At 36.4% G+C, this 16,813-nt stretch overlaps 4 annotated features.

Annotated features, from left to right (window-relative positions):
- Positions 225 to 726: an enhancer, noted in NCBI's record as "OCT4 hESC enhancer chr11:48842688-48843189 (GRCh37/hg19 assembly coordinates)". NCBI's record gives its function as "activates a minimal SCP1, AML or CMV promoter by ChIP-STARR-seq in naive H9 embryonic stem cells {active_cell/tissue: H9 hESC(naive)}" and the evidence as "EXISTENCE:reporter gene assay evidence [ECO:0000049][PMID:30033119]".
- Positions 4,266 to 4,811: an enhancer, noted in NCBI's record as "OCT4-NANOG hESC enhancer chr11:48838603-48839148 (GRCh37/hg19 assembly coordinates)". NCBI's record gives its function as "activates a minimal SCP1, AML or CMV promoter by ChIP-STARR-seq in primed H9 embryonic stem cells {active_cell/tissue: H9 hESC(primed)}" and the evidence as "EXISTENCE:reporter gene assay evidence [ECO:0000049][PMID:30033119]".
- Positions 5,692 to 6,273: an enhancer, noted in NCBI's record as "NANOG hESC enhancer chr11:48837141-48837722 (GRCh37/hg19 assembly coordinates)". NCBI's record gives its function as "activates a minimal SCP1, AML or CMV promoter by ChIP-STARR-seq in primed H9 embryonic stem cells {active_cell/tissue: H9 hESC(primed)}" and the evidence as "EXISTENCE:reporter gene assay evidence [ECO:0000049][PMID:30033119]".
- Positions 15,195 to 15,972: an enhancer, noted in NCBI's record as "NANOG hESC enhancer chr11:48827442-48828219 (GRCh37/hg19 assembly coordinates)". NCBI's record gives its function as "activates a minimal SCP1, AML or CMV promoter by ChIP-STARR-seq in primed H9 embryonic stem cells {active_cell/tissue: H9 hESC(primed)}" and the evidence as "EXISTENCE:reporter gene assay evidence [ECO:0000049][PMID:30033119]".

Below are 16,813 nucleotides of genomic sequence, written 5' to 3'. Positions count from 1 at the left end.
CATCTTTATGAGTTGAATGCACACATCACAAAGAAGTTTCTGAGAATGCTTCGGTCTAGTTTTTATGTGAAGACATTTCCTTTTCCACAATAGGCCTCAAAGCACTCCCAATATCCACTTGCAGATTCTACAAAAAGAGTGTTTCAAAACTTCCCAATCAAAAGAAATGTTCAACTCTGTGAGATGAACGAACACATCACAAAGAAGTTTCTCAGAATGCTTCCGTCTACTTATTATATGAAGATATTTTCTCTTCGCTCTAGGTCACATAGTGTTCCTAATAGACATTTGCAGTTCTTACTAAAAGAGTGTTTCCAAACTGCTCAATCAAAAGAAAACTTCGACTCTGAGAGTTGAATGCACACATCACAAAGAAGTTTCTGAGAATGCTTCTGTCTAGTTTTTATGCTAAGATATTTCCTTTTCCAACATAGGCCTCAAAGTGCTCAAAATATCCACCTGCAGATTCTACAAAAAGTGTGTCTCAAAACTGCTCAATCAAAGATAGTTAAAAGTCTGTGTGATGAATCCACACATCACAAAGAAGTTTCTCAGAATGCTTCTGTGTAGTTTTTAAGTGCAGATATTTCCGTTTCAGCTATTGTCGTCAAAGCACCCCAAGTATCCATTTGCAGTTACTACAAAAAGAGTGTGTCCAAACTGCTCAATCAAAAGAAAGGTTCAACTATGAGAGTTGAATGCACACATAACAAAGAAGTTTCAGAGAATGCTTCTGTCTAGTTTCTTTGTGAAGATATTTTCTTTCCACCATTGGCCTCAAAGCACTCCAAATATCCACTTGCAGGTTCTACAAAAAGAGTGTTTCAATACTTCTCAATCAAAAGAATATTTCAACTCTTTGCCTTGAATGCACACATATCAAAGAAGTTTCTCAGAATTCTTCTGTCAAGTTTTTATATGAAGATATTTCCTTTTCAGCTATATATATATATATATTTGGAGGACTCAAAGTGCTCCAAATATCCATTTGCACTTACTACAAAAAGAGTGTTTCAAAACTTCTGAATCAAAAGAATTGTTTAAGACTGTGATATGAATGCACACATAACAAAGAAGTTTCTCAGAATGATTCTGAGTAGTTTTTATATGAAGATATTTCCTTCTCAGATATACGCTTCAAAGTGATGCACATATCCATTTGCAGTTACTACAAAAAGAGTGTTTCCAAACTGCTCAAGCAAAGGAAATGTTCAACTGCGAGAGTTAAATGCACACATCACAAAGTAGTTTCTGAGAATGCTTCCGTCCAGCTTCTATGTGAAGATATTTCCTTTTCCTCCATAGGTCTCAAAGCACTCCAAATATCCACTTGCAGAATCTACGAAAAGAGTGTTTGAAAACTTCTCAATCAAAAGAAAGGTTCAACTCTGTGAGATGAATGCACACATCACAAAGAAGTTTCTCAGAATGTTTCTGTCTAGTTTTTATGTGCAGAAATTTTCTTTTCCACCATAGGCCTCAAAGCGCTCCAAATATCCACTTGCAGATTCTACAGAAAGAGTGTTTTCAAACTGCTCAATCAAAAGAAAGGTTGAACTACGTGAGTTGAATGAACACATCACAAAGAAGTTTCTCGAATTCTTCTGTCTCGTTTTTATGTGAACATGTTTCTTTTCCACCGTTGGCCACAAAGCACTCCAAATATCCACTTGCAGATTCTACAAAAAGAGTGTTTCAAAAGTGCTCAATCAAAAGAAAGGTTCAACTCCGTGAGGTGAATGCACACATCACAAATAAGTTTCTCAGAATCCTTCTGTCTTGTTTTTATGTGAAGATATTTCCTTTTCCACCATAGGCCTCAAAGCACTCCAAATATGCACTTGCAGATTCTACAAAAAGAGTTTTTCAAAACTTCTCAGTCAAAAGAATGGTTCAACTCTGTGAGGTGAATGCACACATAACAAAGAAGCTTCTCAGAATGCTTCCGAGTAGTTTATATATGAAGATATTTCCTTTTCAGATACATTCCTCAAAGCGCTCCATATATCCATTTGCAGTTACTAATAAAAGATTGCTTCCAAAATGCTCAATCAAAAGAAAGATTCACTTCTGAGAGTTGAATGCCCACATCACAAAGAAATTTCTGAGAATGCTTCTGTCTAGGTTCTATGTGAAGATATTTTCTTTTAAAACATAGGTCTCAAAGAACTCCAAATATCCATTTGCAGATTGTAGAAAAAGAGTGTTTCCAAACTGCTCAATCAAAAGAAAGGTTCAAATCTGTGAGATAAATGCGAACATAACAAAGAAGTTTCTCAGAATGCTTCTGTCTATTTGTAATGTGAAGATATTTCCTTTTCCACCATAGGCATCAAGGCCCTCCAAATATCCACTTGCAATTGTACAAAAAGAGTGTTTCAAAACTTCTCAATCAAAAGAAAGGTTCAACTCTGTGAGATGAATGCACACATCACAAAGAACTCACTCAGAGTGCTTCTGTCTAGTTATTATATGAAGATATTCCCTTTTCAGCTATAGACCTCAAAGGGCTCCAAATATCCATTTGCAGTTACTACAGAAAGAGTGTTCCCAAAATGCTCAAACAAAAGAGAAGTTCAACTCTGAGAGTTGAATGCACACATCACAAAGAAGTTTCTGAGAATGCTTCTGTCTAGTTTTTATGTAAAGATATTTCCTTTTCCACCATAGGCCTCAAAGCGCTCCAAATATCCACTTGCAGTTTCCAAAAAAAGAGTGTTTCAAAACTTCTTAACCAAAAGAAAGGTTCAACTCTGTGAGATTAATGCACACATCACAAAGAAGTTTCTCAGAATGCTTCTGTCTAGTTTTTATGTGAAGATATTTCCTTTTAAGCTATAGGCCTCAAAGCGCTCCAAGTATCCATTTGTAGTTACTACAAAAAGATTGTTTCCAAACTGCTCAATCAAAAGAAAGGTTCAACTCTGTGAATTGAATGCACTCATCCCAAAGAAGTTTCTGAGAATGCTTCTGTCTAGTTTCTATGTGAAGATATTTCCTTTTTCACCATAGGCCTCAAAGCACTCCAAATATCCAATATCAGATTCTACAAAAAGAGTGTGTCAAAACTGCCCAATCAAAAGAAAGGTTTAACACGGTGAAGTGAATGCACACATCATGAAGAGGTTTCTCAGAATGCTTCTGTCCAGTTTTTATGTGTAGATATTTCATTTTCAACTACAGGCCTCAAAGCGTGCCAAATATCCCTTTGCAGTTACTACAAAAAGAGATTTTTAAAATGCTCAATCAAAAGAAAGATTCAACTCTGAGAGTTGAATGCCGTCATCACAAAGAAGTTTCTGAGAATGCTTCTCTCTATTTTTTATTTGAAGATATTTCCTTTTCCACCATAGGAATCAAGGCGCTCAAAATATCCACTTACAGATTCTACCAAAAGAGTGTTTCAAAACTGCTCAATCCAAAGAAAGGATGAAATCTGTGAGATGAATCCACACATTGTAAGGAAGTTTCTTGGAATGCTTCTGTCTAGTTTTTATGTGAAGATGTTTCCTTTTCAAATATAAGCCACAAAGTGCTCCAAATATCCATTTGCAGTTGCTACAAAAAAAGTGTTTCCAAACTCCTCAATCAAAAGAAAGCTTCAACTCTGAGAGTTGAATGGACACATCACAAAGAAGTTTCTGAGAAAGCTTCTGTCTAGTTTTTTGTGAAGATATTCCCGTTTCCAACGAAGGACTCAAAGCGGTCCAAATATCCACTTGCAGATTCTACAAAAGAGTGTCTCAAAACTGCTCTATCAAAAGAAAGGTTCAACTCTGTGAGTTGAGTGCACACATCACAAAGAAGTTTCTGACAATGCTTCTATCTAGTTTTTATGTGAAGACATTTCCTTTTCCACCATAGGCCTCAAACCGTTCCAAATATCCACTTGCAGATTGTACAAAAAGAGTATTTCAAAACTGCTCTATCAAAAGGAAGGTTCAAACATGCGAGTTGAAAGCACACATCACAAACAAGTTCCTGAGAATGTTTCTGTCTAGTTCATATGTGAAGATATTTCCTTTTCCACCGTAGGCCTCAAAGCGGTCCAAATATCTCTGAGAATGCTTCTGTCTAGTTTTTTTGTGAAGATATTTCCTTTTCCACCATAGGCATCAAAGCTCTCCAAATATCCACTTGCAGATTGTACAAAAAGAGAGTTTCAAAACTGCTATATCAAAAGAAAAGTTCAACTCTGTAAGTTGAGTCCACACATCTCAAAGTAGTTTCTGAGAATGCTTCTGTCTAATTTTTATTTGAAGGTAATTCCTTTTCAAATGTAGGCCTCAAAGTGCTCCAAATATCCTCTTGCTGATTCTATAAAAAGAGTGTCCCAAAACTGCTCCATCAAAAGAAAGGCTCAACTCTGTCAGTTGAATGCCCACATCACAAAGAAGTTTCTGAGAATGCTTCAGTGTATTTTTTATGTGAACATATTTCCTTTTCCACTGTAGGCCTCAAAGCGCTCCAAATATCCTCTTGTGGATTCTTCAGAAAGAGTGTTACAAAACTGCTCTATCAAAAGGAAGGTTCAACTCTGTGAGTTGAATGCACACATCACAAGGAAGTTTCTGAGAATGCTTCTGTCTAGTTTTTAAGTGAAGGTATTTCCTTTTCCACCGTAGGCCTCAAAGTGCTCCAAATATCCACTTGCAGTTTCTGGAAAAAGTGTGTCTCAAAGCTGCTATAATAAAAGAAAGGTTCAAATCTGTGAGTTGAATGCACACATAACAAAGAAGTTTCTCAGAATGCTTCTGTCTAGTTTCTTTATGAAGATATTTTCTTTTCCACCATTGGCCTCAAAGCACTCCAAATATCCACTTTCAGCTTCTACAAAAAGAGTGTTTCAAAACTTCTCAATGGAAAGAACATTTTAACTCTTTACCTTGAATGCATACATATCAAATAAGTTTCTCAGAATGCTTCTGTGTAGTTTTTATATGAAGATATTTCCTTTTCAGCTCTAGGACTCAAAGTGCTCCAAATATCCATTTTCACTTACTAAAAAAGAGTGTTTCAAAACTTCTGAATCAAAAGAATGGTTCAACTATGTGACATGAATGCAAACATAACAAAGAAGTTTCTCAGAATGCTTCTGTGTAGTTTTTATATGAAGATATTTCCTTTCCAGCTATAGGCTTCAAAGTGATGCAAATATCCTTTGCAGTTACTACAAAAAGAGTGTTTCCAAACTGCTCAATCAAAAGAAAAGTTCAACTCTAAGAGTTAAATGCCCACAGCAGAAAGTTGTTTCTGAGAATGCTTCTGTCTACTTTTTATGTGAAGTTATTTCCTTTTCCAACATAGGCCTCAAAGTGCTCCAAATATCCACTTGCAGATACTACAAAAAGTGTTTTTCAAGTTGCTCAATCAAAAGAAAGGTTCAAATATTTGAGATGAATACACACATCACATAGAAGTTTCTCAGAATGTTTCTGTCTAGTTTTTATGTGAAGATACTTCCTTTTCAGCTGTAGGCCTCAAAGAGCTCCAAATATCCATTAGTAGTTACTACAAAAAGAGTGTTTCCAAACTGCTCAATCAAAAGAAAGGTTCAACTGTGAGAGTTAAATGCACACATCACAAAGTAGTTTCTGAGAATGCTTCTGTCCAGCTTCTATGTGAAGATATTTCCTTTTCCACCATAGGTCTCAAAGCACTCCAAATATCCACTTGCAGAATCTACAAAAAGAGTGTTTAAAAACTTCTCAATCAAAAGAAAGGTTCAACTCTGTGAGATGAATGCGCACATCACAAAGAAGTTTCTGAGAATGTTTCTGTCTAGTTTTTATGTGCAGAAAATTTCTTTTCCAACATAGCCCTCAAAGCTCTCCAAATATCCACTTGCAGATTCTACAAAAAGAGTGTTTTCAAACTGCTCAATCAAAAGAAAGGTTGAACTATGTGAGTTGAATGAATACATCACAAAGAAGTTTCTCAGAATTCTTCTGTCTAGTTTTTATGTGAACATGTTTCTTTTCCACTATCGGCCTCTAAGCAGTCCAAATATCCACTTGCAGGTTCTATAAAAAGAGTGTTTCAAAAGTGCTCAATCAAAAGAAAGATTCAACTCCGTGAGGTGAATGCACACATCACAAATAAGTTTCTCAGAATCCTTCTGTCTTGTTTTTATGTGAAGATATTTCCTTTTCCACCATAGGCCTCAAAGCACTCCAAATATGCACTTGCAGATTCTACAAAAAGAGTTTTTCAAAACTTCTCAGTCAAAAGAATGGTTCAACTCTGTGAGGTGAATGCACACATAACAAAGAAGTTTCTCAGAATGTTTCAGTGTTGTTTTTATATGAAGATATTTCCTCTTCAGATACATTCCTCAAAGCGCTCCATATATCCATTTGCAGTTACTAATAAAAGTGTGTTTCCAAAATGCTCAATTAAAAGAAATGTTCACCTCTGAGAGTTGAATGCTCACATCACAAAGAAATTTCTGAGAATGCTTCTGTCTAGTTTCTATGTGAAGATATTTTCTTTTTAAACATAGACATCAAAGCACTCCAAATATCCACTTGCAGATTGTAGAAAAAGAGTGTTTCCAAACTGCTCAATCAAAAGAAATTTTCAAATCTGTGTGATAAATGCGCACATAACAAAGAAGTTTCTCAGAATGCTTCTGTCTAGTTTTTATGTGAAGATAATTCCTTTTCCACCATAGGCATCAACGTGCTCAAATTATCCACTTGCGATTGTACAAAAAGAGTGTTTCAAAACTTCTCAATCAAAAGAAAGGTTCAACTCTGTGAGATGAATGCACACAAAGAAGTTTCTCAGGTTGCTTCTGTCTAGTTACTATATGAAGATATTTCCTTTTTAGCTATAGGTCTGAAAGCCTTCCAAATATCCAATTGCAGTTACTACAAAAAGAGTGTTTCCAAACTGCTCAATCAAAAAAAATTTCAACTCTGAGTGTTGAATGCACACGTCAAAAAGAAGTTTCTGAGAATACTTCTGTCTAGTTTTTATGGAAGATATTCCCTTTTCCACCATAGGCCTCAAAGCTCTACAAATATCCACTTGCAGATTCTACAAAAAGACTATTTCAAATCTTCTAAATAAAAAGAAGGGTCCAACTCTGTGAGATGAATGCACACATCACAAGGAACTTGCTCAGAGTGCTTCTGTCTAGTTATTATATGAAGATATTCCCTTTTCAGCTATAAGGCCTCTAAGGGCTCCAAGTATCCATTTGCATTTACTACAAAAAGAGTGTTTCCAAACTGCTCAAACAAAAGAAAAGTTCAACTCCGAGAGTTGAATGTACACATCACAAAGAAGTTTCTGAGAATGCTTCTGTCTAGTTTTTATGTGAAGATATTTCCGTTTCCACCTTAGGCCTCAAAGCACCCCAAATATCCACTTGCAGTTTCCAAAAATAGAGTGTTTCAAAATTTCTTAATCAAAAGAAAGGTTCAACTCTGTGAGATTAATGCACACATCACAAAAAAGTTTCTCAGAATGCTTCTGTCTCGTTTTTATGTGAAGATATTTCCTTTTCAGCTGTAGGCCAAAAAGCGCTCCAAGTATCCATTTGCAGTTTCTACAGAAAGATTGTTTCCAAACTTCTTAATCAAAAGAAAGGTTTAACACTGTGAATTGAATGCACTCATTTCAAAGAAGTTTCTGAGAATGCTTCTGTCTAGTTTCTATGTGAACATATTTCCTTTTCTACCACATCCTTCAAAGCGATACAAATGTCCACTTGCAGATTCTACAAAAAGAGTTTCAAAAGTGCTCTGTCAAAAGAAAGGTTCAACCCTGTGACTTGAATGCAAACATCTAAAAGAAGTTTCTGAGAAGGCTTCTGTCCAGTTTTTATGTGAAGATATTTTCATTTCCACCGCAGGTTTCAAAACGTTCAAAAAATCCACTTGCAGATTACACAAAAAGAGTGTTTCAAAACGGCTGTATCAAAAGGAAGGTTCAACTCTGTGAACTGAATGCACCCATCACAAAGAAGTTTCTGAGAATACTTCTATCTAGTTTTTATGTGAAGTTATTTCCTTTTCCACCATAGGCCTCAAAGCGCTCCAAATATCCACTAGCAGTTTCTACAGAAAGAGTGTTTCAAAACTACTCTATCAAAAGAAATGTTCAACTCTGTGAGTTGAATGCACACATCACAAAGAAGTTTCTGAGAATGCTTCTCTATAGTTTTTAGGTGAAGATATTTCCTTTTCCACCACAGGCCTCAAAGCGCTCCAAATATCCACCTGCAGATTTCACAGAAAGAATATTTCAAAACTGCTCTATCAAAAGAAAGGTTCAGCTCTGTGAGTTGAATGCACACATCCCATAGATGTTTCTGAGAATGCTTCTGTACAGTTTCTATGTGAAGATATTTCCTTTTCTACCATAGGATTCCAGGCGCTCCAAATATCCACTTGCAGATTCTACAGAAAGAGTGTTTCAAAACTCATCTATCAATAGGAAGGTTCAACACTGTGAGTTGATTGCACACATCACAAAGAAGTTTCTGAGAATGTTTCTGTCTAGTTTTTATGTGAAGATATTTCCTTTTCCAACCTAGGTCTCAAAGCGCTCCAAATATCGACTTGCAGATTCTACAAAAAGAGTGTTACAAAACTGCTGTATCAAAAAATAGGTTCAACTCTGTGAGTTCTATGCACACATCACAATGAAGTTTCTGAGAATGCTTCTGTCTAGTTTTTATGTGAAGATATTTCCTTTTCCACCATAGGCCTCAAAGCACTCCAAATATCCACTTGCAGATTCAACAAAAGAGTGTTTCAAAGCTGATCTATCAAAAGGAAGGTTCAACTCTGTGAGTTGAATGCACACATCTCCAAAAAGTTTCTGAGAGTGCCTCTGTCTCGTTTTTATGTGAACATATTTCCATTTCCACAGTACGGGTCAAAGGGCTCCAAATATCCACTTGCAGATACTACAAAAAGAGTGCTTCAAAACTGTTTTAACAAAAGAAAAGTTCAACTCTGTGAGTTGAATGCACACATGACAAAGAGGTTTCTGAGAATGCTTCTGCTAGTTTTTATGTGAAGATATTTCCATTTCCACCGTAGGCCTCAAAGCCCTACAAATATACACTTGATGATTCTACAAAAAGATTGTTTCAAAACTGCTCTATCAAAAGAAAGATTCAACTCTGAGTTAAATGTGCACATCACAAAGAAGATTCTGAGAATGCTTATGTCTAGGTTTTATTTGAAGATATTTACTTTTCTACCATAGGCCTCAAAGTGCTCCAAAAATCCACTTGCAGATCCTACAAAAGGAGTGTTTCAAAACTGCTCTATCTAAAGGAAGGTTCACCTCTGTGAGTTTAATGCACACATCACCAAGAAGTTTCTGAGAAGACTTCTGTCTAGTTTTTATGTGAAGATATTTCTTTTTCCACCATAGGCCTCAAAGCACTCCAAGAAGGAATTACAGATTCTACAACAAGAGTGTTTCAACACTGCTCTATCAAAAAAAAGGTTCAACTCTGTGAGTTGAATGCACACATCAGAAAGAAGTTTCTGAGAATGCTTCTGTCTCCTTTTTATGTGAAGATATTTCCTTATGCACCATAGGCCTCAAAGCGCTATTTTTTATGTGAAGTTATTTCCTTTTCCACTGTAGCCCTCAAAGCGTTCCAAATATCCACTTGCAGTTTCTAGAAAAAGAGTGTCTCAAATCTGCTCCATCAGAAGAAAACTGTAACTCTGTGAATTGAATGCACAGATCTCAAATAAATTTCTGAGAATGCTTCTGTCTAGTTTTCATGTGATGATATTTTCTTTTCCACTCTAGGCATCAAAGCGCTCCTAATATCCACTTGCAGATTCTACAAAAAGAGTGTTTCAAAACTGCTCTATCAAAAGAAAGGCTCAACTCCGTGAGTTGAATGCACCATCACAAAGAAGTTTCTGAGAATGCTTCTGTCTAGTTTTTATGTGAAGATATTTCCTTTACCATCTTAGGCCTCAAAGCACTCCAAGTATCCACTTGCAGATTCTACAAAAAGAGTGCTTCAAAACTGCTCTATCAAAAGAAAGGTTCAACACTGTGAGTCAAATGCACATATCAAAAATACATTTCTGAGAATGCTTCTGTCTAGTTTTTATGAGAAGATATTTCCTTTACCACCGTAGGCATCAAAGAGTTCAAAATATCGAGTAGCAGATTCTACAAATAGAGTGTTTGAAAACTGCTCCATCAAAAGAAGTTTCAACTCTGTGAGTAAAATGCACACATCACAAACAAGTTTCTGAGAATCCTTCTGTCTAGTTTTTAAATGAAGATATTTCCTTTTCCACTGTAGACCTCAAAGCGCTCCAAATATCAACTTGCAGATTCTACAAAAACAGTCTTTCCAAACTGCTCTATCTGAAGTAAGGTTCCACTCTGTTAGTTGAATGCACATATCACAAAGAGATTTCTTATTATGCTTCTGTCTCCTTTTTATGAGAAGATATTTCCTTTTCTACCATAGGCCTCAAAGCGCTGCAAATATCCATTTGCAGATACTACAAAAAGAGTAATTCAAAACTGCTCTATCAAAAGACAGTTTCAACTCTGTGAGTTGCATGCACACATCACAAAGAAGTTTGTGAGAATGCTTCTGTCTAGTTTTTATGTGAAGATATGTCCTTTTCCACTGTAGTCCTCAAAGAGCTCCAAATATCCAATTGCAGATACTAAAAAAAGAAAGTTTCAAAACTGCTTTATCAAAAGAAAAGTTCAACTCTGTGAGTTGAGTGAACACATCACAAAGAAGTTTCGGAGAATGCTTCTGTCTAATTTTTATGTGAAGGTATTTCCTTTTCCAATGTAGGCCTCAAAGTGCTCCAAATATCCACTTGCAGTTTCTAGAAAAAGAGTGTCTCAAAACTGCTCCATCAAAAGAAAGGTGCAACTCTGAGAGCTGAGTGCACACATCACAAAGAAGTTTCTGAGAATGCTTCTCTCTAGTTTTTACCTGAAGATATTTCCTTTTCCACCATAGGCCTCAAAGCGTTCCAAATATCCACTTGCACATTCTACAGAGTGTCTCAAAACTACTCTATCAAAAGGAATGTTCAATCCTGTGAGTTGATTGCACAAATCACAAAGTAGTTTCTGATATTGCTTCTGTCTAATTTCTATGTGAAGATATTTCCTTTTGTGCCATAGGCCTCAAAGCGCTACAAGTATCTCTGAGAATGCTTCTGTCTAGTTTTTATGTGAAGATATTCTCTTTTCCACCGTAGGCCTCAAAGCACTCCAAATATCCACTTGCAGATTCCACATAAAGAGTGTTTAAAAACTTATCTATCAAAAGAAAGGTTCAACTCTGTGAGTTGAATGCCCACATAACAAAGAAGTTTATGAGAATGCTTCTGTCTGTTGTTGTGAGAAAATATTTTCTTTTCCACCATAGCCCTCAAAGCGTTCCAAATATCCACTTGCAGATTCAACAAAAAGAGTGTTTCAAAGCTGCTCTATCAAAAGAAAGCCTAAACTCTCTGAGTTGAATGCACACATCACATAGAAGTTTCTCAGAATGCTTCTGTCTAGTTTTTGGGAGAAGATATTTCCTTTTCCACCGTAGGCCTCAAAGCGCTCTTAATATTCACTTGCAGATTCTACAAAAAGAGTGTTTCAAAACTGCTCTACCAAAAGAAAGGTTCAACTCTGTGAGTTGAAAGGACACATCACAAGGAAGTTTCTGAGAATGCTTCTGTCTAGTTTTCAGGTGAAGATAATGTCCTTTTCCACCATAGGCCTCAAAGCGTTCCAAATATCCACTTGCACATTCTACAAAAAGAGTGTTCCAGAACTGCTCTATCAAAAGGAAGGTTCAACTCTGTGAGTTGAATACACACATCAGAAAGAAGTCTCTGAGAATGCTTCTGTCTAATTTTTATGTGAAGATATTTCCTTTTCCACAGTAGGACTCAAAGCGCTCCAAATATCCACTTACAGATTCCATAAAAAGAGTGTTTTAAAACTGCTCTATCAAAAGGAAGTTTCAACTCTGTGAATTGAATGCACACATCAGAAAGAAGTTTCTGAGAATCCCTCTGTCTAGTTTATATGTGAAGATATTTCCTTTTACACCACTGGCCTCAAAGTGCTCCAAACATCCACTTGCAGATACAACAAAAAGAGTGTTTCAAAACTGCTCTATGAAAAGAAAGGTTCAACTCTGTGTGTTGAATGAACACAGCACAAGGTAGTTTCTGAGAATGCTTCTGTGTAGAGTTTTTGTGAAGATATTTCCTTTTCCACCGTAGGCGTCAAAGCGCTCCAAATATCCATTTGCAGATTCTACAAAAAGAGTGTTTCAAAACTGCTCTATCAAAAGAAAGGTTCAACTCTGTGATTTGAATGCACACATTGCAAAGAAGTTTTCGATAATGCTTCTGTCTAGTTTTTATGTTAAGATGTTTCCTTTTCCACCATAGGCATCAAAGCGCTCCAAATATCCACTTGCAGATTCTACAAAAGGAGTTTTCCGAAACGGCTCTATCAAAAGAAAGGTTCAGCTCTGTGAGTCCAATGGATACATCACAAGGAAGTTTCTGAGAATGCTTCTGACTAGCTTTTATGTGAAGATATATCCTTGTCCACCATAGGACTCACAGCATTCCAAATATCTACTTGCAGATTCTACAAAAAGGGTTTTTCAAATCTGCTCTATCAAAAGAAAGGTTCATCTCTGTGACTTGAATGCACACACCCAAAAGGAGTTTCTGACAAAGCTTCTGTCAAGTTTATATGTGAAGATATTTCCCTTTCCACCGTAGTCCTCAAAGCAGTCCAAATATCTCTGAGAATGCTTCTGTCTACTTTTAATGTGAATATATTTCCTTTTCCAACGTAGGCCTCAAAGCGCTCCTAATATCTGCTTGCAGATTCTACAAAAAGAGTGCTTCCAAAGTGCTCTATCAAAAGCAACTTTCAACTCTGTGAGTTGAATGCACACATCACAAATAAGTTTCTGAGAATGCTTCTGTCTAGTTTTTATGTGAAGATATTTCCTTTTCACCATAGGCCCCAAAGCATTCCAAATATCTACTTGCAGATTCTACAATAAGAGTGTTTCAAAACTGCTCCATCAAAAGGAAGTTTCAACTCTGTGAGTTGAATGCACACAACACAAAGAAATTTCTGAGAATGTTTTTGTCTAGTTTATATGTGATGATATTTCCTTTTCCACCATAGGCCTCAAAGCGTTCCAAACATCCACTTGCTGATTCTACAAAAAGAGTGTCTCAAAACTGCTCTGTCAAAAGGAAGGTTCAAACCTGTGACTGGAAAGCACACATCACAAACAAGTTTCTGAAAAAGCTTCTCTCTAGGTTATATTTGAAGATACTTCCTTTTCCACTGTAGTCCTCAAAGCGCTCCAAATATTTCTCAGACTGCTTCTCTCTAGTTTTTCTGTGAAGATATTTCGTTTTCCACCCTAGGCCTCAAAGCGCTCCAAATATCCACTTACAGATCCTACAAAAAGAGTGTTTCAAAACTGCTCTGTCAAAAGAAAATTTCAACCCTGTGAGTTGAATGCACACATCCTGAAGTTGATTCTCAGAATGCTTCTGTCTAGTTTTAAGGGAAGATATTTCCTTTTGAACCGTAGTCCTGAAAGCACTCCAAATATCCACTTGCAAATTCCACAATAAGAGTGTTTCAAAACTGCTCTATCAAAAGGAAGGTTCCAATCTGTGAGTTGAATGCACAAATCACAAAGAAGTTTCTGAGAATGCTTCTGTCTAGTTTTTATGCGAAGATATTTCCTTTTCCACTGTAGGCCTCAAAGTGTTCCAAATATCCACTTGCAGATTCTACAAAAAGAGTGTTTCAAAACTGCTCTATCAAAAGAAAAGTTCAACTCTGTGAGTTGAATGCACACATCACAAAGAAGTTTCTGAGAGGGCTGCTTTCTAGTTTTTATGTGAAGATATTTCCTTTTCCACCGTAAGTCTCAAAGTGCTACTAACATCCACTTGCAGATTCTACAAAAAGAGTGTTTCAAAACTGCTCTATCAAAAGGAAGGTTCAACTCTGTGAGTTGAATACACACATCACAAAGTAGTTTCTGCGAATGCTTCTGTCTGTTTTTTATATGAAGATATTTCCTTTTAAACCATAGGCCTCAAAGTGCTCCAAATATCCACTTGCAGATTCTACAAAGACAGTGTTTCAAAACTGCTCTACCAAAAGAAAAGTTCAACTCTGTGAGTTCAAGGCACACATCACAAAGAAGTTTCTGAGAATGCTTCTCTGTAGTTTTTATGTGAAGATATTTTCTTTTCCACCGTAGGCCTCAAAGCACTCTTAATATTCACTTGCAGATTCCACAAAAAGAGTGTTTCAAAACTCCTCTATCAACCGAAAGTTTCAACTCAGTGAGTTGAATGCACACATCACAGAGAAGATTCTGAGAATGCTTCTGTCTACTTTTTATGTGAAGATATTCCCTTTACCACCGTAGGCCTCAAAGCACTCCAAATATCCACTTGCAGATTCTACAAAGAGAGTGTTTCAAAACTGGTCTACCAAAAGAAAGGTTCAACTCTGTGAGTTGAATGGACACAACAAAAAGAAGTTTCTGAGAATGCTTCTGTGTAGTTTTTATGTGAAGATATTTCCTTTTCCACCGTTGGCCCTGAAATGTTCCAAATATCCATGTGCAGATTATACAAAAAGAGTGTTTCAAAACTGCACTATCAAAAGGAAGGTTAAACTCTGTGAGTTCAATGCACAAATCACAAAGAAGTTTCTAAGAATGCTTCTGACTAGTTTTTATGTGAAGATATTTCCTTTTCCACCATAGGTCTCAAAGCATTCCAAATATCCACTAGCAGATTGTACAAAAAGGGTGTTTCAAAACTGCTCTATCAAAAGAAAGTTTCCACTCTGTGAGTTGAATGCACACATCACAAAGAAGTTTCTGAGAATGCTTCTGTGTAGTTTTTATGGGAAGATATTTCCTTTTCCACCGTAGGTCTCAAAGCGTTACAAATATCCACTTGCAGATTCTACAAAAAGAGTGTTTCCAAACTACTCTATCAAAAGAAAGGTTCAACTCTGTGTGTTGAGTGCACACATCACAAAGACGTTTCTGAGAATGCTTCTGTCTAGTTTATATGTGAAGATATTTCCTTTCCACCGTAGGCCTCAAAACGCTACATATATCTCTGCAAATTCTTCTGTCTATTTTTTATGTGAACATATTTCCTTTTCCACCGTAGGACTCAAAGTGCTCCTAATATCCACTTGCAGATTCTACATAAAGAGTGTTTCATAAGTGCTCTATCAAAAGAAACTTTCAACTCTGTGAGTTGAATGCACACATCACAAAGAAGTTTCTGAGAATTCTTCTGCCTCGTTTTTATGTGAAGATATTTCCTTTTCCACCTTAGGCCCCAAAGCGTTCCAAATATCCACTTGCAGATTCAACAAAAAGAATGTTTCAAAACTGTTCCATCAGAAGGAAGGTTCAACTCTGTGAGTTGAATGCACACATCACAAAGAAATTTCTGAGAATGCTTCTTTCTAGTTTACATGAGAAGATATTTCCATTTACACCGTAGAGATCAAGGTGGTGCAAATATCTCTGAGAATACTTCTGTCTAGTTTTTATGTGAAGATATTTCCTTTTCCACCACAGGCCTCAAATTGCTCCAAATATCCACTTGCAGATTCTATGAAAAGAGAGTTTCAAAACAGCTCTATCAAAAGAAAGGTTCATCTCTGTGAGTTGAATGCACACATCACAAGGAAGTTTCTGTGAATGCTTCTGTCTAGTTTTTATGTGAAGATATTTCCTTTTCCACTATAGGCCTCATAGCACTCCAAATATCCATTTGCAGATATGACAAAAAGTGTGTTTCCAAACTGATCAATCAAAAGAAAGGTTCAACTCTGTGAGTTGAATTCTCTCATCACAAAGAAGTTCTTGAGAATCCTTCTGTCTAGTTTTTATGTGATGATATTTCCTTTTCCACCATAGGCCTCAAAGTGTTCCAAATATCCAATTGCAGATTCTACAAAAACAGTGGTTGAAAACTGCTCAATCAGAAGAAATGTTCAACTCTGTGAGATGAATGCTCACATCACAAACAAGTTTCTCAGAATGCTTCTGTCTAGTTTTTATGTTAAGATACTTCCTTTTCCACCATAGGCCTCAATGCACTCCAAATATCCAGTTGCAGTTTCTACAGAGGGTTTTGAAACTGCTCAATCAAAAGAACAGTTTAACTCTGTGATTTAAATTCCCACATGACAGAGAAGTTTCTGAGAATGCTTCTGTCCAGTTTTTATGTGAAGATATTTCCTTTTCCACCATAGGCCTCAAAGTGCTCCAAATATCCACTTTCAGTTTCTACAAAAAGTGTTTCCAAACTGCTCAATCAAAAGTAAGGTTCATCATAGTGAGTTGAATGCATACATCCCAAAGTTGTTTCTCAGAATGCTTCTGTCTATTATTTATGTGAAGATATTTCGTTTTCCACCATAGGCCTCAAAGCGCTCCAAATATCCATTTGCATATACTACTAAAAGAGTGTTTCCAAACTGCTCAATCAAAAGAAAGATTCAACACTGTGAGTTGAATGCACACATTTCAAAGAAGTTTCTGAGAATGCTTCTGTCTTTTTTTTATTTGAAGGTATTTCTTTTTCCACCATAGGCTTCAATGTGCTCCAAATATCCACTAGCAGATTCTACAAAAAGAGTGTTTCAAAACTGCTCAATTAAGAGAAAGGTTCAACTCTGTGAGATGAATGCACACACCACAAAGAAGTTTCTCAGAATGCTTCTATCTAGTGTTTATTTGAAGACATTTCCT

Source organism: Homo sapiens, chromosome 11 (assembly GCF_000001405.40).
Source record: "Homo sapiens chromosome 11, GRCh38.p14 Primary Assembly".
Taxonomy (NCBI): domain Eukaryota; kingdom Metazoa; phylum Chordata; class Mammalia; order Primates; family Hominidae; genus Homo; species Homo sapiens.
Note: the sequence above shows the minus strand (reverse complement) of the source record. Positions and strands in the feature narration are given on the sequence as shown.